At 39.7% G+C, this 27,065-nt stretch overlaps 1 protein-coding gene across 14 annotated transcripts in view; it reads right to left on the reverse strand.

Annotated features, from left to right (window-relative positions):
* KDM5D (lysine demethylase 5D) overlaps nt 451-27,065 on the reverse strand; it is a 40,862-nt gene continuing 14,247 nt past the window's right edge. For 3 of the 14 annotated variants that reach the window (NM_001146706.2, XM_005262560.4, NM_004653.5), the window contains 16 exons: nt 17,716-17,897; nt 17,458-17,620; nt 13,182-13,301; nt 12,865-13,059; nt 12,409-12,590; nt 12,201-12,325; nt 11,938-12,085; nt 6,962-7,058; nt 6,037-6,395; nt 5,461-5,599; nt 4,830-5,009; nt 4,520-4,657; nt 3,733-4,332; nt 3,380-3,449; nt 3,027-3,226; nt 451-2,931 (listed from right to left, as the gene is read on the reverse strand). In NM_001146706.2, the coding sequence (NP_001140178.1) occupies nt 2,581-2,931; nt 3,027-3,226; nt 3,380-3,449; nt 3,733-4,332; nt 4,520-4,657; nt 4,830-5,009; nt 5,461-5,599; nt 6,037-6,395; nt 6,962-7,058; nt 11,938-12,085; nt 12,201-12,325; nt 12,409-12,590; nt 12,865-13,059; nt 13,182-13,301; nt 17,458-17,620; nt 17,716-17,897 (3,249 nt within the window). In that variant the 3' untranslated portion in view covers nt 451-2,580. Of the gene's footprint in view, nt 2,932-3,026; nt 3,227-3,379; nt 3,450-3,732; nt 4,333-4,519; nt 4,658-4,829; nt 5,010-5,460; nt 5,600-6,036; nt 6,847-6,961; nt 7,059-11,937; nt 12,086-12,169; nt 12,326-12,408; nt 12,591-12,684; nt 12,698-12,864; nt 13,060-13,181; nt 13,302-17,457; nt 17,621-17,715; nt 17,898-19,926; nt 20,020-27,065 lie in introns of those variants that run through there. The other 11 variants (XM_047442766.1, XM_047442764.1, XM_047442765.1 and 8 more) reach the window with 8 other exon arrangements.

Here is a 27,065-nt window from a genome sequence, read left to right on the forward strand (position 1 = left end):
AAGAATGAAAAAGCGTGTTCAGGAGAAAATAGGCGTGTGTCCATGGGAACATTTTGTTAAGATTAGCAGACATAAGGGAGTCAGATGGTATTCATCCTAACAAGAATTACCATAAAATATTTTGGAGTTCTTTGATGTCATACCCATCACAGGCCCAGAGTGTTAGTTAGGGTCTTGAAAGTTGACAGTTTTAAAGGGGAGGCCCAAAGTGCCCTTGGACGTGGGGCTCACTGCACAGTACCACCCTAAACCTTGATTTCCGAAATTCTGGTGCAGCACTCCTTGGCTCTATTAGCTGTGGCTGAAATGGGCCCAGGTATGGCGCAGGTCCCTCCAGAAGTTTATGCTGTGTATGTTTACAACGTGAACTGTGAGCAATATATTTAAGTTTATAAATTGCCCAGTCTGATATATTTTTTTCTCACAGCAGAAGAGACCAAGACAGCTGGCTTACCAGTGGTAAAGTTTTATTACAATTTTTTTAAACCAAGATTCAATTTTTTTCTGAATTAGAATTATCGCAGAGAACACTGAATGGCCTATGAAATTCAATTTTTGCTGCAGATTTCGTCATGTTTCTTAATGAACATATAACTAACTTCTAATCACAAGATAAATTCTTGCCTATGTGCAAAAACTTAGTGCTGCATCCTTGTGTATGGTTTTAAAAAGTGTCAAAACTGGCCCCTCATGTCAAATACAGCCCCAATTAGGGGAGGCAACCTAAGAAAGGTGTACAACTGTCCTGACATTGGATTGCCTGCTTACTGTGAAGTATGTGAACAATTTGTGACTCAGAACTTTAGTGAGATTTTTATAGGCAGAAGTTCTCATCATGCCTCATCAGAATTTTCCGTTAACAAGTGTCAGAGAATCTGTAATGGCTTGAGAATCATGACTTTCCTCCTATTTATGGAAGAGGAGAAAAAAGAAATTTCGAAGACAATTCTCAGATTTAGATAAATTATCTCAGGATTTTCTATATATTTTACCTGGTCCCTATGGTGTGGTAAGGTAAAGTACACTGTACTTGGACAGGTGAAGCAATTTCTACTCTACTAGGTCATCACCAAGCATAGCTTTGTTACTGGGAAAGCTAATTATAGTTCCCTATGACAGTATCAAAGAAAGAAAGAGGTGAAAAGAGTAGACAATAAGGAAGGTAGGTATGATTATAGGCATGAGAAATGCTATGGGTAATAACGTGTTCTACACTGACTCAAGTCAGCAAGGAGTAGGTGGAAAAGCGAGAGATTCAATCCAGGATGACAGAATGCGTTCACCTTTAAAGGGATTAAAAGAAGTATAATACAGTCTGTATTATTAGATCACCCAGAGACACACAAAACAAGAACCGTGAATTGAATTAGTGGTATACTAATAGAGTGGTTTTACCTGAAATATTTACACATCAATCCTACTGAATTCTTACAACAAATGATTTAGATTAGCTATTGTATTCACCAGTTGAAAGAACAGAAAATATTGAGGGAGATAACTTGTGTCAGTGCAACTTAATCAGATTTAGGACACAAAAGCTACTACATAATGAAAAAGAGAGCTGGTGACTTAACTTGCTAAAACAATCTGAAAAACAAAAAAGTGAGATGAATCTGTCTACCCTGATGTAAGACTTATTATAAAGCGACTGTAACCAAGACATTGTGATCTGGCCACAGGGGACAGACACATAGTTAAATGATGCAATGCAACAAGTTAACTCAGATATTGGCACATGCAAGTCCAGCCAACAGATTTTCAATAAAAAGCACAAAGCAATTAAGTGTAGGACAGGTAAGTTTTCTATTGCTGGTGCTGGGTCAACTGGACATCCTTTGAGAAAACATTAACCTTGGCCTAAGTCTCATGTATGTTTTCTAAGTAAAATTTACCCTTCCCCACTGCCCCGAAAAAGACTATTAAAAATTACGTTGACCCATGCTACTGTTGTTTCCTAACCTCAGTCCTTCACTCGTACAATTTAAGAAGTTCAAATCATATTCATAGTATCCAAACATACTCATTGTTTTATTTTTAACAAAAGAAATGAAATTAAAGATAGACCACAGGTAGAGTCATGAAATTCTTGTTTTTCCCTATTCTTTTTGGTAATTACAACGTACATTGTCTTCTTTTATAATAAGACCCAAGGGGAGAAAAGAAAAGGATGTACAATGAAGGTACAAGTTTTGAAGCACCAAAATATTTTATGACAGGGACAAAAAAACAAAAAACAAACAAAAATTGAAGTACAGAAAGAGGGTGGTGGGGGCAAAAATAAAGGTACGCACTTGGGCTTCCTCAAGATTTGTTTGTCCCTATTCAGACTAGAATGAAACTGGTTTAGGAAATCACTCCTGTATGCTAGCAGGAATGTTGCTGGCAAGACACTTCTGAGCATCGGGGTGTGGACTTTACGAACCAACCTTTTAACAGTAACTCTAGGAGAGAGGATATCAAAAATTGGCAGTGAAAAATTATAGATAAGCAAAAAGCTCCTTCTGAGGTCCAGGCCAGGAGATAGTAGGATTTAAGAAACAAACAAACAAAAACAACCACAAATGACCTTTGGTGCCACTGTCACAACTGTTGCTCATCAGAGTAGGAGAGTTGTAGCAAAGGCATTAAAGAAGGACAAGCAGCTGAAGAGCCTGAATCCTTGTGTTGTAAGCTATTTTGGTTTCCTTTCAAGAAAGGGCTGTGGTCTGTGGAAGGTGTCAGGAACATATTTTCACGGTCTGCTTTCTCCTGATAATGTTCTTCTTCTCGGCCCACCTGAGACATAATCCCTGAGCTCCGAGCCCTTTTTGACTGAAGCTCCTGTTGAACAAGATTCTCAACGTTTCTACCCTGATCCACCTTCTGCCGCCGCCGTCGCCTCTCCAGAGCCCGGCTCCTTGTCCGACTCCCTTGATGTTCAAATTTTTCCAGCTGCAATCATACCCACACAAGGCGAAAAACGTCAGTACTGGGATCCCTGCCTGCTGGACCTGATCTCCTGCCCTGCCTGTGACCCCGCTTCCTACCTCCAGAAGTGTGCGAATTCTGTCCAGGTCTGGAGGCTGTCCAGCCTGCAGCAGCTGCCAGATGCTGTGGTTCTCATCCAGGGTCACCTCAAGCAGGTCCCCTTCCATCATGAGCTCCTCCAGGGGAGCCCGGATTGCCTCAGGCAGCTCCAACACAGGGCCAGTCAACTGCGGCAACAGTGAGGACAGTAGCTCCAGGTCTGGGCGGAAGGTGGTGCGGTGAAAGGTGCAGGGACAGACTGGGTTAGAGGCCACTCTTGGTCTTATCCTCCATGGCCACAACAGAGGTGACAAATACATGGGTCACTCAGTTATGTTTAGCCAACAGCCTACCCAAACCACACCTGTCTTACCAGAGCCCTTTCCTGGAGCCATGTTCTCAGGACTGGTCACACTGTCTCCATTCTCCAGCAGCCCTTGGACCTATCGGAAAAAAAGAATGGGTAACAATAATTGAGCTGATGAACCAGGTCCTATCTTTCCTCCCACAACTCCAAAACTTGGGAGCCTCTATCTCCTGAAGCAGAGTAGACACAGGCTTCCAACAGGGATCAGAGTTTAGGGATCTGGATAGGTATAGAATGGAGCAAAGGGACTAGGCCAAAGGAGATTGAAAACTGGGGAACAGGGACAAGACTGGAGCTACAAGAAGGACAGGGGCTAGAAGACAGAAATATGAGGACAATGGCTGGCCTGGAAAGCTCACCTTAGAAATATTGTTGCCACTGCCTTCTCTGATAGGGTCACAGGCAGTGGCTGAAGTGTAGACTGAGGCCTCCTCTGGTCTGGGTTTGGCCTGTAGCTGTTGGCGAAGCTCAGCCAGCTGTCGCAACAGAGCAGTCACATCTTCAGAGGCCAGAGCCTTTCTGGCACGGTCTTGCCAGCCAATGGCCCTCTCTGTGAGACACTGAAGGGCCTCACCCTCAGGCAGCCGCACGGGCAGCCTCTGCAGGGCAACCAGCAAGGCTAGGATTGTCTCTAGGCGTGGCCGTCGTGAGCGCATACACAGTGGACACAGGAATTTTGTGTCCCATTCCCACCAGGCTAGCAGTGGAGATGAAGTGAGACTGGGCTTTGGAGAGGTGAGGAGATGGGGCACTGACACACACTGCCCATGGAACCAGTCCTGACACAGGTCACACTGCAGAACTCCCACCCCAGCTGGCACCTGCCCACACACACAGATAGAAGTCGGAGAAGAGGCCATGAGGGATGGTGCCAGTGGACTGGGCTTGGCTGAGTTGGTGCGACGCAGCTGCAGGATACCCTCCTTCTCCTTCTGTTCCCCTTCCTTGAAGGCCACAATCTGCCATATCCAGAAGAGGGGGAAAGTAGGTCAGCAGTCCACCCTCGCCCTTGTCTGGCATCCTAATGCCCAGCTCCCAAACCAGGAGACCTGTAACAGGGCTCAGACACCCTATCATCAGCAGCTCTCCTCTTTTCAGAGAGAAACCCAGAACCCATCTTTTCCCCATCTGGGCCATGCTCCTTACCACAGAGCCTGGGTCTCTGAGGTCCTGTGCAGACAGCCCCAGCAGCTCTGTGTCACACTGGTACAACCCCAGCGCCTTCTCCATCCACCGGCTACGCTTGGTGCTGTCTGAGCCAGCGTCTGCACACGGGCAAAGCACCTGAGGCAGGCAGGCAGACATACAGGAAATGACCAGGCTTCCCTCACCAACTACACCCTCTCCTTCCTACCCAGGTGCCCACTAAAAAAATCTATGTTCTCATTATATGCGCCATCTCACAGCAGCCAGGCCAGATGAAGAAGAGGCTGTGGGTCAGGGTCTCAGACCTCACCTCAAGCAGTGTGTAGCAAGAATTCTTCTTGAGAAAGGTCTTGGAGGCCTTCTCTCTCCAGGAATGTGCTGTCAATACCTGCAGCTCTAGCTGTCTCAGCTCTTCCAGCCCCACAGGCAGGTCCCGGCCCACAGCCACCAGGCCCTCCAAGTCATCTAGACAGGGGTAGTGGTCACCATTCTGGAATAGGGGAAAGAAACTTTATTTAAATTATGTCAACAATATTGTGTCTAAATTTGTCCTAAGTAATACTGGGTATTATACTGCATAATCCCAGGGCTGAAAATCTGGAGATGTTTTCTGCAACAGAAAAATGTGATAGAAACTCTTTTCTCTCAGAACTCCTACTTTAATTGGCTCAGACCAAAAATTCCACATATGCAAGTTACTCTGTTGTAACCTGCTTCCTCTGTACACTTCTATATATCAATAGTCTCTGCTTAGGTATACACCCATATTCATGCTTCTCTTCCCTTGGTTCCTATTCTGACACGCTCAGGTACCTCAAGGAATCCTCCAACTTCCCACCTTCACTTTCTAGCACAACCCAACCGAGTAAAAACTATAAAGTATATCTATCTCTCTTCTAACTGCTGGCCTGACGCAGTAAAGCAGAAATACTGATCCTCACTTGGATCTCATCCACATCAGCAATCCAAGCTTGTGCCTTAGTCAGAGCTTCTTTGAGAGCCTGGATGTTAGGCAGGTGAACAGGGATGTTTTCTGTCTCACGAATTATGGCTTCCAATGTGGCTGGTGGATGCTTCTGCCTAAATTTTTTTTGAAAAAGAGAAATCTATCATTACATGTTACAGGTATACATGCCCCTTTTCTAAGTCCTAGGTTTCCTTGCTAAAAACATAAGCAATAAAAAGTGTTGCATGACAAAGTAAGGAAGCCACACTGAGGAACTCTCTAACATTGCAGGGGGCTATATAGATCTCTTGTAAGTCACATGCTGCATCCATTCACCTGAGAACTAAGTCATCCAAGAACATTTCCCCAATTGTTGCCTTTACAACAGTGAAACATCAACATGACATGTCATATAGATGGGAGTACATGATATGTCATGCCAATCCTTTAGAGTTTAGTAGATGCCCAACTGGGAGTCTGTTGCCCAAGGGTCACCATAGAAATACTTAGGGTCACCCCAAAACTTTGAGGATTATAGTCAAGATACAGACAGGGAGAGACTACGCCCCACCTGGCCTCCAGGCAGAAATGAGCCTTTTCTTCCCAGCGCTCTGCAATGGTCAGTAGTTCTTGCAGCTCAGCCCGGGCCTTGTCCACAGAAGGGCTGGAGGCTATCTTGGCACCCATAACCAAAAGCCCCTGCATGATGACCAGAGAGCCCCTGTGAGCAGAAGGGGCCAGGGCCTGCTTCACTTCATCTAGCCATTGCGCCTGCTCCACCTGCTGCTGAAGCTGATGGGCTTCAGGCACCTCTACACCCAGCTGCTGCCCCCTCTCCAACAGGGACCGCAATAGCCCTGGACTAGAGGGCAGTGTGGCCAGAGCCTCACGAGCCTCAGCTTGATAGGCCTCCACCTGTTCCAGGACATCCTGCAAGGACATAGGATAAAATGCAGATTCTTTAGCCACATAAATACTCAACCACCTAGATTTGCTCCACTTCTCATCTTCTCTTATAGGCATTTCCTATTGCTTAATACTTATTCTCAACCACATCCTAAAACATGATCTATCTGATAATAACAAAGGCCCTCTGTTTACCTAGAATGACATTTTTCTCCTTTAATTACCTAAATTTCTTTTTCCAAACCCACTTTAATACAATCTTATCCATCTAGTAAGCTTTCTAAGACTCTGGTGTCTGGAGGGAAATCAACCAACCAACCAATCAGTCCTCTCCACCCCATTCCCAAGAGCCAGTGTCTTATGTAGGCCCAGTTTAGAGTTTTTAATTATTTCAGTCTGGAAGGATATTTCCTTGCATGCTGTACACACAGAGATGGTATGGGAACACATATCTCCGCCACTTCCAGGAAAGAACCTGTTATTATGAGAAGGTTGTTTAGAATAATTAGGTTCTCAAGTTTTCCTGACATGTCAGACTTCCTGAGTATTTGCTGTTAACAAGAATTCCACCTTTCCAGGCCCCTCCTTACCTTGACATCCCCAATCTGATGCATGGCACAGGGCAGGCTGCCCATCTGCTCAAGAAGGACCCGGAGTTCAGTCAAGGTCAGCTGTGGAGTGTCCATCCTATAGGAGCCAGAAGGAACACCTCGTAATGTCACATTTCAAACAATTTGAGACTTTTAATATACTTCCTTCCCTTTCATATTTCAGTAATACCCACAAAGGTTTTTTTCTAAGTTCAGCGATACTGACAAGTTAAGATTTGAAAAAACACCCGTAGGCGTTTGACAGCAGTTAATAGAGACTACAGATATCAAAGTCAGAGAGTCCAGCTTCCTGAGAAAACGTTAACAGTATTAATCTGCTACCACTATGGCTACTAATACCATGCCACCACGGTACTACCTGGCTAGTACCATTCCACAGAAGAACAGAAATAAATACAAATAGGTGGGGCAAGAGAAAAGAAACATGTGAAAAGGCCCCTGGATGGTTTAAGTTATATTTTCATCAGTCATCCAGTTAAGAGTTAAAGAATGAGGAAGAGATGTAAAAACAGCCATTAGGATTCAGAAGTAGTAGCTTTCACAGTGAGACAAAACATCTATTAAGCCAGAAACTGAAGTACAAATGCAATGGGAGGATTACGAAGAAAGGAGGGCTAAGTGATGATAAGTATGGTCAGAATAATAAATTTATTCTAGACAAGAAATGAGAGTTCATTATGTCAGAAGCAAAATAGTACTACAGGATGACAACTTCTGAGATTTACTCTTTGGTTCCAACTGCCTACAAGACAAAGAAAACTGAAGAGGCCAGGAAGTTAAATGCATGAGGAAAACTTGAGGCAGATTAAAATGGAAATGCAGGGCATGTTATTTGGGTATCATGGGTTCAATCTGGAAAAGCCTTATTTCTCCTGAACCACAGTAGGGAAAGGAGTTATCCAGAAAAGTGAAATTTATTCTAAAATTTTAAGTTTCCATGTTTTAAAGAGAGGCAGCAATGAGAAAAAAGGTTAAGAACAAGTAGGAAATACTGAAATAATGGGCCAGGCACGGTGGCTCATGCTTGTAATCCCAGCACTTTGGGAGGCCAAGGCAGGCAGATCACAAGGTGAGGAGATTGAAACCATCCTGGCTAACATGGTGAAACCCCATCTCTACTAAAAATACAAAAAAATTAGCCAGGTGTGGTGGCACACACCTGTAGACCCAGCTACTTGGGAGGCTGAGGCAGGATAATGGCCTGAACCCGGGAGGTGGAGCTTGCAATGAGCTGAGATCGTGCCACTGCACTCCAGCCAGGGTGACAGAGTGAGACCCCGTCTCAAAAAAAAAAAAAAGAATATTTGAAATAATGTGTCTCTAAAATATGACAGACATGAGAATGAAGACAAAACATAAGAAACTAAGCTAAGTAAGCATGGGTCATTGAATATCTAGGTGGCACAGAAAAGCCAAAAAGGCAATCTAGCATCTCAATTATAGCTCAGGCTAATAATTATGTGATGGACTATTTAAAAAGCTTCCTTATCAGTTTATTTAATTTAAATCAGACCATGCCACATCCTGTGGGACCCATCCTCCAAATAGGCCCAAAATAATAAATTTCAAATATCCATTCTGCTATGTACTTCTCCACTTCAAAATCTTTCTATGTTTTCTTAAAGTTTTTTGAAAAAATTACTTATATTCTCAAGTAGAAACTGGTTCAAATGTATACCCTTGCTTTAGAGTCTTGATACCTTTATTCTGACCCTTAAACCTAATGACAAAAAAATCCCTTCTTTATCTAAAATTCCTTCCTACTAACACAGCTTTATTTTTTTTAAATAGAGTAGTTTATCTAAAATTCCTTCCTACTAACACAGCTTTATTATTTTTTATATAGAGTTTCTACAAATACATGATTTAACATTGTCATGCACCACATGACATTTCAATGACAAATCACATGTATGATAGTGGGCCTGTAAGATTATAACAGTACTGAAACATTCCTATCACCTGCTGACATCGTAGCAGTTGTAAAGTAGCAACACATTCCTCATGTGTCTGTGGTGATGCTGATATAAACAACCCAATGCACTGTCCATCATGTAAGAATCTGTCTAGCACATGCATCACATAATACCTGATAACAAACAGCCATATACTGGTTAATGCTTGACACCACATTTTTCTAAACTATTATTTTAGAATATACTCCTACTATAAACAAAAGTTAACTGTCAGGCAGCCTCAAAAGTATTTCAGGAAGTATTCCAGGAAGTGGCATGGTTATCTTAACAGATCCCTTTCTACGTGTGTCAGTGCCCTGAAGACCTTCCACTAAAATAAGATATAGATGGGGGAAGATGGTAACATTCAGAATCTGACTCTGTGTAGGCCTAGGCCAATGTGTGTCTTTACATCTTAGATTTTAACAAAAATGTTTAAAATGGAAAACAAACTTAAAAATTGTTTACACAGAAAAGTTTACAGAATGACAATATGAGGAAAGAAAATATTTTTGTACAACTCTATGATGCATTTGTGTTTTAAGCTAACCATTATTAGAAAAGAGTAAAACATTCAAATAGAAATTAAATGTTTACAAAAACAGTTTACAAAAACAGACTCATAGACCAATGAAACATGATAGAAAGCCCAGAAATGAGGATGCGTACCTACAACCATCTGATCTTTGACAAAGCTGACAAAAACAAGCAATGGGGAAAGGACTCCCTAATTAGTATATCCTGTTGAGAAATCTGGCTGAGCCATATGCAGAAAACTGAAACAGGACCCCTGCCATGTACCTTATACAAACATCAGTTCAAGATGGATTAAAGACATAAATTTAAAACCTGAAACCATAAATGCCCTGGAAGACAACTGGACACAGGCATGGGCAAAGATTTCACAATGGAGACGCCAAAAGCAACTGCGGCAAAAGCAAAAATTGACACGAGTCCTAATTAAAGAGCTCCTGTACAAAGAAACTGTCTACACACAGGGTAAACAGACAACCTACAGAATGGGAGAAAGCTTCTGCAAATTATACATCTGACAAGGGTCTAATATCCAGCATCTATAAAGGAACCTAATCAAATTTACAAGAAGAAAACAACCCCATTACAAAGTGGGCAAAGGACATAAACAGACACTTTTCAAACGGAGACATACATGCAGCCAACAGATATATGAAAAAAAGCTCAGCATCAGTGATCATTAGAGAAATGCAAAACAAAACCACAGTGAGGTACCACCTGATAACACCTGTCAGAATGGCAATTATGAAAGTCAGGAAATAGCAGGTGTTGGTGAGGTGGCGGAGAAAAAGTAACTGCTATACAGGGTTGGCGGGAGTGTAAAATTAGTTCAACCATTGTGGAAGACAGTGTGGCAATTCCTCAAAGATCTAGAGGCAGAAATACCGTTTGACCCAGCTAACCCATTACTGGGTATATACCCAAAGGTATATAAATTGTTCTATCATGAAGACATATGCACGTGTTATGTTCACTGTAGCACCATTCACAAAAGCAAAGACATGAAATCAACCTAAATGACCATTAATGATAGACTGGATAAAGAAAAACTGGTACATATACACCATGGAATTACAATGCAGATATTACAAGAACAGGATCATGCCCTTTGAAGAAACATGGATGGAGCTGGAGGCCATTATCCTTAGCAAACTAACACAGGAAGAGAAAATCAAATACCACATGTTCTCACTAATATGTGTAAGATAAATGATGAGAACACATGGACGCACGCATAGAGGGAACAGCACATACTGGGGACTATCACCGAGTAGAAGGTGGGAGGAGAGAGAGGATCAGGAGAAATAACTAAGGGGTACTGAATGTAATACCTGGGTGATAAAACCCCTATGTACATGGGGTTAACAAACCCCCATGACACAAATGTACCTATATAACAAACCTGCACATGTACCCTGAAAAAAAGTTTTAAAAATTTACAGTAGCTGAGGCTAATTTACTATCTCTTTTTAAGATACCGTTATATAAATTTAACAAAGCCAAAGTGTAAAGCGTTTATTAGGTCTACAGTAGTGTACAGTCATGTCCAAGGTCTTCACATTCTCTTACCAGTCGGTTCCTCACCCAGAGAAACTTCCTGTCTTGCAAGTTTCATTCATGGTAAGTGCCCCATATTTTATGTCTTCCACAATTCTTTTATTGTAGTAATTCTACATTTGCGTATTTTGATACACAAATACTCACCAGTGTTACAACTGACAACAATATTCAGTACAGTATCACGCTGTGCAGGTTTGCAGGCTAGGAACAACAGGCTCTATCACACAGCCTAGGTGTGTAGGAGGTCACAGCATCCAGGTTTATGTAAGTAGACGGTGCGTATGCAGCAATGACAAAACCGCCTAATGACGCTTTTCTCCTAACACATCTCCATCATTAAGTGATGCCTGACTGTACATAATCACTTACTTTTCAATCTAAAAACTATATGTATCTATTGTCTTACACATTTGGAAACTAACAGTTAAATAAATTTCTAGGATTATTTTAACCTCTGAAGTTTTACCTAACTACACAGCCAAAAGTAAAGTTTGTGGAAATTCCGATGTCTGCATAACGCTATGAGATTTCCTAAGAAGTAGGAAAAAACTGCAATTTTGCTAGTATATATTTATATCTTATTGCCACATTATTTTGTTAGAAACTTTAGTTCAGTAATTTCTAGTTTCTATTATACTGCTTTTTGTCCATGTGTTATCTACTCTTTCTCAGTAAAATCTGAGTCTGTGCTTCTTTTTTTTTGCTGTTGTTTTGAGATGGAGTTTTGCTCTTGCTGCCCAGGCTGGAGTGCAATGATGCCATCTCGGCTCACTGCAACCTCTGTCTCCTGGGTTCAAACAATTCTCCTGCCTCAGCCTCAAACAGGATTGTGTGTTTATAGTCTATCCATTTTTGTTATTCATTTTCACACACTGACACCCTTCTTTGCCTTCTCCTCTCACGTACCTGGCCACCTGACCACTGACCAGCCCCAGGACTTGAGCAATACAAGCCTCCACCTCACTCAGGCAGTTCTTCAGTCGCTGAAGCAGCTCACTATTAGGAAACCTCCTCTCACGAGCCTCAGACTCCAGTGCCCTTAGCTCTTCAAAGCCTGGAGAGTGTAAGTTGCAACAGGTAGGCAGTGTTAGCAGAAAAGGAAGGTTGAGAATACCCAAAAGAAAGAAATAAGGCTTACACAAGGGTTCCTTCCATTTCCTGTCACTCACTGCGTTTACGGCCATCCTCCACCTCCAAGGCCACTCGCACTTTGTTGGCCCAGGTGTCAAAAGACTCAGCCCGAATCTTCAGTTTATGCAGCATGGTGGGGAGCTCATCCAAGGTGTACCGATACCTAGAGGAAGAAAGCCGGGAAGGGTACACATCTGGCCCAGCTCTAAAACCTCCTTCACGTCCCCACAGTGTTCCCATGCTCACCGGAGGTACTGTCGGCTACTAGAGCACTTGCAGAGGTCATTGATGTGGGAAAGGCATACAAGGCCATCTGGGCAGTCGTAGCAGGCCAGGGCTGACAAGAAGCACGTGGTCTTGCACTTGATGCACTGGCGTTCATCATCTGGGAGCAGCTCAAAAGCCTCTCGCTCAGCCTCCGTGACGCCCTGGGGGTGTTCAACCCACATATACTGTAAAGACTAGGAGTAGGGTTGTGGACACCCCACCTCAGCCAACACTGAGCCCTGATGTGGACTCAACCTTGTAAGGAAAGCTGTAGAGAAATTGGAAGAAAAAATATAAACACATACAGACTCTGTCTTTACATTTCAAAATGCATGACTTAAAGATCAGGCACACAGTGGTTACTCAATGTTGGTCTGTGTCTCTGTAACGTAATATATGTGACTAAATCCCTAAGCTCTGCTCTTGACCACCCACCTTCTCCAAAAGGGCCTTTCGTAGACGTCGCTCCTCCTGAACCATAATGAACATCTCCTTGTGCACAGCTACTGCTAGATTGAGATCCAACGTCTCTGGGAAGGCAGCCATCTTGCAGATGAGCTCCTCGTGGGAGAAGACACAATAGCGCCGGAGCCGGCGGTAGTGTTCAATGCACTGGCGTCCAGCAGGTAGCTGCAAGTGCGTTCAAGATTGTGTGTGGCTATCTGGAGACCACAATGCATAGCTTCTCCACAATAATCCTTACCCATATTCTTTATACTTTCTACCTGCAGGCCCACTGCATGCTCACTCACCCAGTCAGCAGTACAAAAGTTGACAGCTTCAGCAAAATTGTAGCCTTGGTTAAAACCACTGTGGTAAGCACGAGGAAAAGTGATGACAAACTCCCCTGCACACTGGTTTGTGCGGACAACCTAAAAAGGAGAAAAAAGCAGAAAGAGGTGTGGGTCAGAACTAATGGGCCAGATGTGAACTCAAAGATGTCTCTAGATGCTGTAACAGATGTAGGAAGAGTGGAAAGGCTCTATCTTCAAGTACGTGTCCTAAAAGAAAAATGAGATTGTGAATTTAAAAGTGGTATTCATAGAAAAGTACTCAAAATATGTGTAATTCAAAAAACAAATATAGAGGGGTCCACGAACAAGTGAAAAGACTCTTTGCTTCTATAATCAAAGAAATGCAAATTTTTAAAGTCATAGAATTAAGTCACCAAAAATGATGAAGTTGGAAACTCCACAACTTTGTCCCTCTACTCAAACAATGATCTAGTGCTGAAATGTTCAGAGCAGTGCAATAAAATAAAATAAAATAAAAAACCCAAATCAGGAGAACACTTAATGGATTTTTAAAAGCTTTTACATTGTGGTACAAGAGTGCTATAATGCACTAAGTTCCCTGCATACACACACTTGCCCCAATTCCTATGTAAGCAGCTACTGTGGGAAAGCAACCTGAGATGCTGGTGCAGCTGATTGGTGCCAGGAACCATGATGTGAACCTTTTTCCCGAAGAACTAAGGTGGTGTGTTTTGACTTGTCTGGTGGCTTCCTGGAGGACTACCTCAAGGGCCTGATTTTCTTTCACCTGCCTGACAGTTCGCTTAGAAGACAGGAGACTTCCCAGGCTGTGTTTTTGGAAAGTATAAAAAAGCAAACGTATTAGTCACAGCCACCTCCAGCTTTAAAATGGGGTGGTGGGGGTGGGGAGGAGAGAGAGAGAGAGAAAGAGAGAGACTAGAAAAACAACAGATAATTTTAAGTGCCTGGGAGGCAAATCCTAGAGAAAGAGATATTTTGGGAAAAAGGGATTCTAAAAAAGCTTCCACGTAGTATTTGAGAACTGAGAAAGCCACATTAAACATCCAGGGCAAGATACATGCTCAGAAAAGATCTAAGACCCTAACGTCACCTCTATCTGACTTTCATGCTCTTCCGAAGCAGAAGGTGGAGTCTAAAATAGTTTTTAAAGTAGCCCCGAAAAAGTTTCACCAATCAGACACAATCTGCAAAGACTGGGTAGTTAATACTATTATTAGTTATTATCATTATTGTTTTGGCTTAAGAAAGAGTTTGTTAGGTTGGTAGATGACCAACAGGCTAACAGAAAGCAGAAAAAGAACATAAAACTAAAAGATTACTCACGTATACAAAGAATTGCTCACTATCTTTAGTTGTTAGGAAAATGCAAATCAAAACCACAAGATACTATTTCTTGCCACACAAGATACTATTTCTTGCCATACAAAAAGAGGTAGAAAATAACAGTGTTGGCAAGAATGCAGACATATTAGAACCCTTGAGCATGGCTGGTAAGAATGCAAAATGGCTATGACACTGCTATGGAAAGCAGTAAGTTCCTCAAAAAGTTGAAACAGAGAACTACCATATGACTGTCCAATACCACTTCTGGGTATATACCCAAAACTCTGAAAGGAAGAACTTGAACAAATATTTGCACACAGATGTTCACAGTAGAAATATTCACAATAGCTTAGTGGTGGAAACAACACAAATGTGCTTTAACAGACCCATGGATAAGTAGAATGTGATCTGTCCATACAATGCAATATTATTCAGCCATGGAAAAGGAATAAAACTCTGACTCATGCCATAGCACAGATGAACTTTGAGAAGTCAGATACAAAAGATCACATATTGTATGATTCCATTTATAAGAAATACGCAGAATAAATTCATAGAAACAGAAAGTAAACCTGTGGTCCAAGGTTAGAAGCAGGGATGAATGAGAAATAAATTGTATTGAGACTTTTCTGGAGAAATTAAAATGTTTTAGAATTAAGTAGACACGGTGGTTGCACAACACTGTGAATGTACTAAATGAGACCAAACTGTTCGGTTTAAGATGGTTCGTTTTGTGTTATGTGAATTTCACCTTTAAAACATATCCCCCAAAAAAACCAGTTCAGAAAATTTACTAACCAAACAACAACTATTGTACATAAAAGCAACAACAAATTTTTTGAGAGAAGACAAGGGGGATAATACGATTTTCAGAGTTGAAGCAATACTCTGAAAAGTGTTCAGTTTAAAACATTAGTAGGCATACAAAGAAAAGAAGTATAGCCCTGGCCGGGCGCGGTGGCTCACGCCTGTAATCCCAGCACTTTGGGAGGCCGAGGCGGGCGGATCACGAGGTCAGGAGATCGAGACCATCCCGGCTAAAACGGTGAAACCCCGTCTCTACTAAAAATACAAAAAATTAGCCGGGCGTAGTGGCGGGCGCCTGTAGTCCCAGCTACTTGGGAGGCTGAGGCAGGAGAATGGCGTGAACCCGGGAGGCGGAGCTTGCAGTGAGCCAAGATCCCACCACTGCACTCCAGCCTGGGCGACAGAGCGAGACTCCGTCTCAAAAAAAAAAAAAGAAAGAAGTATAGCCCTTCGGTTAAAAGAAAAAAGCTCTCAGATAGCCCAGGCTTACTTACTTACTAAAGTCTATCAACTCTCAAACAGGCTTAAATGCCTTAAGAAGCAACACACAAAGGACTAATGGGTATCAGGAGAATAATGTCCCTCCAAATAAGAGTTTCAAGAAAGGCACTAAAATTACAAAAATGAAACAAGTCAAAATTCTGAAGCTCTCAGTCCCATAGCAGAAGTGAAAAACTCACAAGATGGTTTCAACAGGAGCTTTGAGCAGGCAGAAGAAAGAATCAGAAAACTCTAAGACATGTCAATTGAAATAAATCAGCAGGGGGTAAAAAGAGAAGAATATTAATCAGATCCTAAGAGACCTGTGTAACACCATCAAGTGCACCCATATATGCAGAATGGGAATTTCGTAAGAAAAGAGAAGGAAAAAGGCAGAACAGTTGAAGCAAAAATGGTTAAACAATTTCCAAATTTGTGGAAAGCCCTGAAAGTCTACAACCAAGAAGCTCAGTGCACTCCAACTAGATAAACTCCAGGAGACACAACATAGTCGAACCAACAAAAGGTAAGACACCAAGATGGAGTTTGAAAGCAGTATGACAGACATGATTCTTCGCATATAATGGATGCTTAATAGAATTATCAATAGATTTCTCATTAGAAATAACGGAGGCCAGAAGCCAGTTGGATGACACGTTAAAAGTCATGCAATGGGAAAAAAAATTAAATAAATTGACAGAGAATTAAAAATTGTGGAAGTATGTCTCCAGAAGATGTGCCTACAGGGAAAACAGAAGGACTCCTTCAGGCTGACATGAAAGGATATTACTGAGTAGTTCAGAGCTACATAAAGAAAGTAATACCCCTGAGAAAGGCAACTATAAAAAAAATATAAAAGTTAGTATTACATATACAGCACGAGAGACAAAAAAAATATAGTTAGTTCAGAACTAGAATCAGAAAGCAAGACAAATGGTGTTAATTAGATTGCTTGATGAGCTCATTATCATCAATATATTTTTCTTGTGAGACGAGGAATACTAGGAAAAAAAAGGTACAAGTTAGAATTCATAAAATGTATAAAATGTCAGGAAACGAAGAGGGCCTTTGGAGACATGAAGCACATTTTGTTGAGATGAAAAAACTGAGGAAGATGGCCAGGAAAGTTATAAAAGCTTATAAAGCGGTTAACTCAAAGCTTACAGAATTTCAAAGGAGAAAAGGCATAGCATGTAACAAGACAGTGACCCAGTCCATGTACCACATACACATTGCTAGCTTATTCTTTAGCAAAATGAGCTGATACAATCCACTCCTAGAAATACTCAAAAGTCTGAAACCAGTCCCTCCTGGGTTTTGCAAAGTAAGAATTATATTCAGAAATATTAAGAGAAAACCAATCCTAGACTAGAAGGCAGATAAAAAGGCCAGGATCCAAGTTTTAATTTCTATTCTGTTAAGTAATTATCTAATCTCTCTTTTACTTGTTCTCTTAAGTGTCCCAGCTAACGGTACTGATCTGCAACTTGAAGTCAGCAAGGGAAGGCAAAGAGGTGTGATGCTAAGCCTAATCTCCATAGCAAAATGGATATGGTTTTATTTCTTCCAAAACTAAGTTCTTTCTCATTCCCTTCTCACCCCAGGGAAGAAAATTAAAATTGTTTTGATCCTTGGTACTTACTGGCACACCATGGGACATCAAAGTGTTGGGATTCATGAGAGTGACAAGCTGGTGTAGGAGATCAGGCTGGCTATCAAACAGCTCAGGTGTCAGCATCTTCATCACCTCCTCCAAATGCTCTGCTGCCAGGGAGGGTACACCATACCAGGTCTTCGGCTCACCCCTGCTCACGTAGACAGAAGACACGTCAAGTCTATATACATCGTTGCATATGAGGGCAGTCTTGATATCCAACTGAGCCATTGGGGTCATGCTCACCAATGCAGATAGTTAATAGAGTAACTCCAGTGATCCTCAATATGCCAACAAAATGCTGAGAAAACCATGCCCACGTACAGCCAGGGCACCTTCATGCCTGAGATGTCTGCATTGATGTGACAGAGAACAGACTGATCTAGCACTGGCATCACATTCAGGTTCCAACCACTGGTCGCATACTCCTGTTGGGTCAGAGATTTGCCAGAGTGAGTAGGGAGTAGGATACGATGAGGAGAGGCAAACTGAGCAAAACATACATAAGAAGACAACTGTGTCTTAGAACATGCTGCCTCTGGTATTCCTGGTCACAAGAGGTCCATATTGTAAACTCAAAAATAATGCCCTGTTTTGCCACTGTCAACTAACACAGTGCCGGAGGTCCCAGCCAGAGCAATGAGGCAGGAAAAGAAATTAAAAAAACATTCAAATTGGAAAAGAGAAAGTTATGTTATCCCTGTTTGAAGATTTATAAAAAAGTCTTAAAGAAAACACTTCTTTTTTAAGAGGATGCTAAGGCCTCCGTAAAAATGGTGTTAGAACTAACAAATTCAGTAAATTTGCAGGATACAAAATCAATATAAAAATCAGTGGTGTTTGTATACATTAGTAGAAAATTATCTGAAAAAAACAAAATAAAAACTTCATTTGTAACAGCTGAAAAAAATCTCTAGCAATAAATTTAAAGAGGTAAAAAAATAACTACACTGCAAACTATACAAATAATGATGAAGTAAACTGAAGAACACACAAAGAAATTTTAAGACACCTTGTCCTCACAGACCACAAGAATTAATATTGCTAAAATGTCCATACTATCCAAACTGATCTAGAAATTCAATTTAATCCCTGTCAAAAATAACAGCATCCTTCACAGAAATTTTCAAAAAAGCAACCCTTAAATTGATATGGAACCCCAAAGACTCAAAATACCCAAAGCAATATGTGAAACAAAACAAACCAACAAACAAAAAAGCTGAGAGTATTCACACTAATTTACTATTATATCACAAAGCTATAGTAACTAAAAGGGCTTAGTACTGCCATTAAAAACAAACACACAGCTCCATGGAAAATAATAGCCCAGAAATAAATCTCTGCATTTTCAGCCAACAGAAGTTCCACAAAGACACCAAGAACACACAGAGAGGAAAGGAAAGTCTCTTCAGTATCCATTGTTGGAAAACCTGGATATCCACATGCAAAAGGATGAAACTTGACCCATCTTTCACCATGTACAAAAACCAACCCCAAAGGAAGTAAAAACTTAAATGTAAAATATGTAAAATCCAAAATTATCAAACTACTAAAAGAAGACATAAGAGGAAAGCTCCATGACATTGATCTTGGCAAGAATTTTGTGGATTAAGACCTCAAAAGTATAAGCAACAAAAGCAAAAACAGACAAATGGTATTACATTAAGCTAAAAAGCTTCTGCATAATGAAGGAAACATCAACAGAATAAGGCAACGACCTACAGAATGGAAAAATGTATTTGCAAACTATGCATCTGATAAAAGGTTAATATCCAAAACGTAAGAAACTGAACAAATACAATAGGAAAAAAAAAAACTAATTAAAAATGAGCAAAAGATAAAGAAAATGAAATACTATGAAATACAGCTAACCAAGTAGGTGAAAAATCTCTACCAGAAAATCCAGAAAACACTGCTATAAAAGATCAGAGATAACACAGGTAAATGGAAAACCATTCCATGCCCATATATTGAAAGATTCAATATAATTAAAATGGCCATACCACCCAAAGCAATTTACAGATTCAACGCTATTTCTATCAAACCATCAACATCATTCTTCACAGAAGTTGAAAAAAATTCTAAAATGTATTTGGAACTTAAAAAAAGAGCCCCAACTAGCCAAAGCCAACCTAAGCCAAAAGACAAAGATGTAGACATCACACTACCCAAATTTTGAACTATAATATGAAGCGACAGTAACCAAAACAGCATGGTACTGTAACAAAGACCAACAAAAAGACCAATGGAACAGAACAGAAAACTCAGAAATAAAGCCAGACACGTACTACCATCTGTTATTTGACAAGGCCAACAAAAGTAAGTAATGGGAAAGGGCTTCCTATTCAATAAATGGTGCTGGAGTAACTGGCTACCGACATGCTGAAGACTGAGGGTGGACACCTATACTTCACCATGTGCAAAAAGTAACTCAAGGCCAGGTATGATGGCTTATACCTGTAATCCCAACACTTTGGGAGGCCAAGGTGGGAGGACTGCTTGAGCCCAGAAGCTTGAGATCAGCCTGGTCAACACAGTGAGACTTTGTCTCTAAAAAAAAAATTTAAAAATATTAAAAAAGTATAATAGCTACTAATGTAAAAAATAACAACTTTGTAAAAATTTCTTATTTTATAAAACTTTTATTGTGATAGCTCCCAGCTACTAGGGAGGCTGAAGTGTGAGGGGTGTTTGAGCTCAGAAGTTCTAGGCTGCAATAAGGTGAGTCATGACTGTGCTACTGCACGCCAGAATGTGTGACAGAGAAATCGTGTCTCAAAAGAAATTAACTTGGAATGAACCAAAGATTTATTTAAACATAAAACCTCAAACTACAGTAATCCTAGGGAAACAGTCTTCTCGACAGTGGCCTTGGCAAATAATTTTTGGCTAAGCCCCCAAGAGGAAATGCAACAAAAATAGGTAAGTGGGACCTAATTAAGTGAAAGAGCTTCCCACAGCAAAAGAAACTGTCAACAGAATAAACAACCTATAGAATGGAGAAGATATTTGCTATACATCTGATAAAATCCTGACATTCACAATCTACAGCAAACTTATACAAATCAACAAACAAAAAACAATCACTCCATTAAAAATGGGCAAAGGACATCAGTAGACACTCCTCTTAAAAATATATACAAGTGGCCAACAAGCATATAAAAAGATCATGTCCTTTGCTAAGACATGGATGGAGCTGGAGGCCATTATTCTTAGCAAAATAACACAGGAACAGAAAACCAAACACTGCATGTTCTCTCTTATGAGTAGGGGCTAAATGATGAGAGAATACACAGACACATAAGGGACTTTTGGAGTTTGGAGGGTGGGGGGAGAGACACGATCAGGAAAAATAACTAATGGGTACTAGGCTTAATACCTGGGTGATAAAATAACCTGTACAACAAATCCCCATGACACAAGTTTACCTATGTAATAAAACTACACTTGTACCCCTGAACTTAAAATAAAAGCTTATCCACAATGATCAAGTCAGCTTCATCCCTGGGATACAAGACTGGTTCAACATACACAAATCAATAAACACAATCCATCACGTAAGCAGAACCAATGACAAAAACCACATGATTATCTCAATAGATTCAGAAAAGGCCTTCAACAAAATTCAATAGTCCTTCCTGCTAAAAACTCTCAATAAATTAGGTATTGATGGAACATTATCTCAAAATAATAACAGCTATTTATGACAAACCCACAGCCAATGTCATACTGAATGGGCAAAAACTGGAAGCATTCCTTCTGAAAACTGGCATAAGACAAGGATGCCCTCTCTCACTACTCTTATTCAACACAGTATTGGAAGTTCTGGCCAGGGCAATCAAGCAAGAGAAAGAAATAAACAATATTCAATTAGGAAAAGAGGAAGTCAAATTGTCTCTGTTTGCAGATGACATGGTTATATATTTAGAAAACCCCATCGTCTCAGCCCAAAATCTCCTTAAGCTGATAAGCAACTTTATCAGGATACAAAATCAATGTGCCAAAATCACAAGCATCCCTATACACCAATAACAGACAAAGAGAGAGTCAAATCATGAGTGAACTCCCATTCACTATTGCTACAAAGATAATAAAATACCTAAGAATACAACTTACAAGGGATATGAAAGACCTACTCAAGGAGGACTACAAAGCACTGCTCAAGGAAATCAGAGAGGACACAAACAAATGGAGAAACATTCCATGCTCATGAATAGGAAGAATCAATATCGTGAAAATGGCCATACTGCCCAAAGTAACTTACAGATTCAATGCTATACCCATCAAGCTACCACTGACTTTCTTCACAAAACTGGAACAAACTACTTTCAATTTCATACAGAATGAAAAAAGAGCCTGCATAGCCAAGAGACAATCCAAAGCCAAAAGAACAAAGCTGGAGACATCAAGCTACCTGACTTCAAACTATAGTACAAGGCAACAGCAAGAAAAACAGCATGGTACTGGTACCAAAACAGATATACAGACCAACTGAACAGAAGAGAGGCCTCAGAAATAACACCACCCATCAACAACCATCTGATATTTAATACACCTGACACAAACAAGCAATGGGCTTAATAAATGGTGTTGGGAAAACTGGCTAGCCATATGCAGAAAGCTAAAACTTGATCCCTTCCTTACACCTTATACAAAAATTAACTCAAGATGGTTTAAAGAATTAAACATGAGACCTAAAACCATAAAAACCCTAGAAGAAAACCTAGGCAATACCATTCAGGACATAGGCATGGACAAAGACTTCATGTCTAAAACACCAAAAGCAATGTCAACAAAAGCCAAAATTAACAAATGGGATCTAATTAAACTAAAGAGTTTGTGCACAGCAAAAGAAACTATCATCAGGGTGACAGGCCAGGAACCTACAGAATGGGAGAAAATTTTTGTTATCTATCCATCCGATAAAGGGCTAATATCAAGAATCTACAAAGAACTTAAACAACTTTACAAGAATAAAAAAAAAAACATGAAAAAGTGACCGAAAGATATGAACAGACACTTCTCAAAAGAAGACATTTATGCAGCCAACAAATATATTTCAAAAGAGCTCATCATCACTGGTCATTAGGGAAATGCAAATCAAAACCACAATGAAATACCATCTTACGGCAGTTAGAATGGCAATCATTAAAAAGTCAGGAAACAACAGATGCTGGAGAGGATGTGGACAAACAACACTTTTACAATATTGGTGGGAGTATAAATTAGTTCAACCATTGTGGAAGACAATGTGGCGATTCCTCAAGGATCTAGAACTAGAAATACCATTTGACCCAGCAATCCCATTACTGGGTATACACCCAGAGGATTATAAATCATTCTACTATAAAGACACATGCAAATGTATGTTTAATGCAGCACTGTTCACAATAGCAAAGACTTGGAACCAACCCAAATGTCCATCAATGATAGACTGGATTAAAAAAATGTTGCACATATACACCATGGAATACTTTGCAATCATAAAAAAGGATGAGTTCATGACCTTTGCAGGGACATGGATGAAGCTGGTAATAGCATTCTCAGCAAACTAACACAAGAACAGAAGAACAAACACCGTATGTGCTCACTCCTAAGTGGGAGTTAAACAATGAGAACACATAGACACAGGGCAGGGAACATCTGTCTGTCAGGGCTGGGGGGCCTGTCAGGGCTGGGGGACTAGGGGAGGGACAGCATTAGGGAAAATACCTAAGGTAGGTAGATCACAGATTGATGAGTGCAGCAAACCACCATGGCACATGCATACCTATGTAACAAACCTGCACATTCTGCACATGCACCCAGAACTTAATGTATAATTAAAAAATAAATAAATAAACTACAGAATAATAGGAGAATTTTTGGTCAAATAAAAGGCCATATTATATTTCTTTTGATAAAAGTATCATGTGTTCAGTATGTTTTATTATTTGAAATAATTAACATGACAGGAATATATTTGAAAAAAATTCCAAAAAAAGCTAAATATACAAACTAAGAAAATTATATGATTATACTTATCTGCAGTATTGTAAAACAATAGTTCCAAAAACTTCTGAATTACAAGTTTAATACATACAACTTCAATTTTCAACTACATTGTGGTTAGACGTTCAGAGGAATCACAAAGGACCTCAACATGCTAGATAAGAAAATGTATTTTTTAAATGTTTTGGCTCAGCTGCTTAGAAAATAAGGAAAATCCTCAGAGAATAACACTAAGAAATAACATGTACAAATTAAAGTTCTGAAACTGATGACAATTCGGGTCAACCATAAAAGAGAAAATTTGGAGCTTCCAAAGAAGGTCATATTAGGGTCTTTAACTTACAACGTGACAGTACTATTATCCTTTTAGCTATAAAACTGAAGGAGGTGAAAAACATCCTGAAGAAACAGATATTAAATACTTTCCTTATCTTGGTACTGTTTCCACAAGAAGAAAAGGAAAGATACTCCTAAGAGTTCTTATCTATCAGCCATCCACACAAGAATTCATATTTACTTGAAAACACAACTATTCACATTTACTTGGAAATGTGAAGCTAAAAATTTTTTATCGTCTTAAGGGAATCCTTAACATTAAACAGAAACAGTCTATTCTGTAGCTGGACATTAAAATCTAGGTTTCTGAAAAAATTCCCATACATGTTGTTCAAAGAAATACAAGTTCATCAGAAAACAAAAACAACAGCAACGAAAAACACTAATTAAATCAAAGCCATAAAATATGGAGCGGGGGTTGTAAAATGAGTAAAAATTTGTTGAGAAAACATCAAGCTATAATTAGTTCTCAGAATATGCTATAATAACTAGGTGTTGAAGATAAAATCAGTTTAATTTAAATAAGAGGATAAAAGAAGTATGAGCAGAAAAAGGTTTTCAATATTAACTAGGAAAGTCTGAAAAATAATCAGAAATTCTAAAGATAAAAACATAACATTAAAAATTATAAACTAAGTTGTTTAATAGATTAGGTATTTTAAAAACTGGTACATTTTTAAGTTGCTTTAAGTAAGTTACTTAAAAGACAACAGCAGCAAAAGAATTAAAAAAAAATGAAAGGTGAAGAAACACATACAAGAGAACCTTAGAACAGTAAGGTTCTAGCTAACAGGAGAAATAAATTACAGACTGTAAAAGTTGATGACCAAGAATTTTTCAGAAGTGGTAAAAGCTGAATTCTCAAGTTTGAGAATTCCTATCTATTCCCAGAAATATTAAGTAAAAAGTCACATTCCACACATCAAGAAAACTTGCAAGACACTAAAAGAGATATTATAGCAGTCAAATAGAAAAAGCAAAATAGACTACTACAAATTAATGTAAGATTCAGAATTGACTTGTCAAAAGCCAAAACAGATTTCTAATGTACTGTGAAAAGACAATTATCAAACCACATCCGTATATATACAGAGAAATACCTTTATAAGAATAAAAATTCACAAATGCCTCTGTTCAATAAATGTCTTTTTTTCTTTTTTCTTTTCTGGGCAGAGATTCACGCTGTCACCCAGGCTGGACTGCAATGGTGCGATCTCGGCTCACTGCAAGCTCTGCCTCCCAAGTTCATGCCACTCTTCCACCTCAGCCTCCCTAACAGCTGTGACTACAGGTGCCCGCCACCACGCCTGGCTAATTTTTTGTATTTTTAATAGAGACATGGTTTCACTGTGTTAGCCAGGATGGTCTTGATTTCCTGACCTCGTGATCCACCTGCCTCGGCCTCCCAAAGTGCTGAGATTACAGGCGTGAGCCACTGCGCCTGGGCTTTTTAAGAAATTTCTAAAGAATTTACTTCAGCAACAAAGAAAATGGTTGCAAGAATTTCAAATAATCAAAAGAAAAAATCATGTGTGGATAAATCTATATGCAGTATAAAAACAAAAACAGCATCCATTTTGTTGAGCAAAAAGCTTTAAAAACATGCACAAAAATTTTATAGGTCAGAAGAGAACTGAAGAGTAAGTTATATAGTCTAATATTACTTGGGAGAAGTAAAAAAAAAATTAAATGTTAGGTTATATGTAAAATAAAGTATTAGGCCGGGTACCGTGGCTCACGCCTGTAATCCCAGCACTTTGGGAGGCCCAGGTGGGTGGATCACCTGGGGTCAGGAGTTCGAGACCAGCCTGGCTAACATGGCGAAACCCCATCTCCACTAAAAATACACAAAATTAGCTGGGCGTGGTGGTGGACGCCTGTAATCCCAGCTACTTGGGAGGCTGAGAGGCAGGAGAATTGCTTGAACCTGGGAGGTGGAGGTTGCAGTGAGGGAAGATCATGCCACTGCACTCCAGCCTGGGCAACACAGCGAGACTGCGTCTCAAAAAAAAATAAATAAATAAAATGAAATAAAATAAAATAGTATTAAAACTAGCATACAAAAGTTGCTAAACTTACAAGTGGCTAAAATGGAATAAGAAAGGCAAAAAAAAGATAACAGAAAAGGCAGCAGAAACTAAGTTCAAAATAAGATAGCAAAAAATGGATGCAATCATCAGTCACAATAAATGAAAATTAACTAATTAAAAAATAAAAACTCACTGGATTAAAAAAATCAATTCTGCATTAGTTACAAGTTAAACATTTAAAGCCTATGTATACAGAAAGATAAACTAGATCTAAGATCCAAAGGAAACTAGCAGGAACGGGACTGAGGGGCAGTATAGAGACCAAAGTATTTATTTGTTTTATAAAAGTTAAAAAATTAATACCAGTACAAATTCATTATGAAAGGGGTTAATACAAATATTCTGCATATACTCAAATATCTATACACATATATATGTATTAGTTAAGCATAAATGGTGTGTCCAATAATTTAGCAGATGGGATAATCTGATGCTCTTAAAGGCTTGCCATTGGAATAAGCTAATGGAAAGTGTTTGACCTTAGTAATCAATGAAATAGTGCTACGTGGGAACATATCATACCCACAAAAGTAGGTAACAGTATGAAGTGCTCTGTTAAACATATGGATGACCAGTTCTCTCATTAGTTTCAGTGTAACCTGTCAGAATCCTTTTGTAAAACAATTCAGAGTATCGTTCAATTCCACTTCTAAACATAGAACCTAGAAACTGTTGTTTCAGGAGACCTGTAAAACAATGCTCATACACTGTTAGTAACAGCTAAACACCAGAAGCAATCCACAGAAAGAAAGATAAATGAGATGTAATCCCAGCATGCAATATTATATAATAGTGAAAAAACAGATAATTTAAAGCTATGAGCAACAATATAAATGAATTTTCCTAACACAATACTGACAGAACAAGTCAGAGAACACACAACGTAACATTAGCAAAGCTTGAAAATTAATATTCTTTTTAAAAATACATACATATGTAATCAAACACTACACTTTTTTTTATTATGACAAACCCATGACGGTGGAACATTTAGGTGTTAGTGGAGAGAAAGAGGGAGGTATGACTTGCAGAAAAGCCTGTGGAGAGATATTATCTCACAAAACTTCAATTCTTATGTTCAAAAGTTAGCTCAGGGATATTACTTAATACCATGCTTTATACCGACAAAAGGACTTGTCTATGGCTTCAAAATACAATTTGTTTTTTGGTTGTTTCAAA

This window comes from Homo sapiens, chromosome Y (genome assembly GCF_000001405.40).
Source record: "Homo sapiens chromosome Y, GRCh38.p14 Primary Assembly".
NCBI lineage: Eukaryota > Metazoa > Chordata > Mammalia > Primates > Hominidae > Homo > Homo sapiens.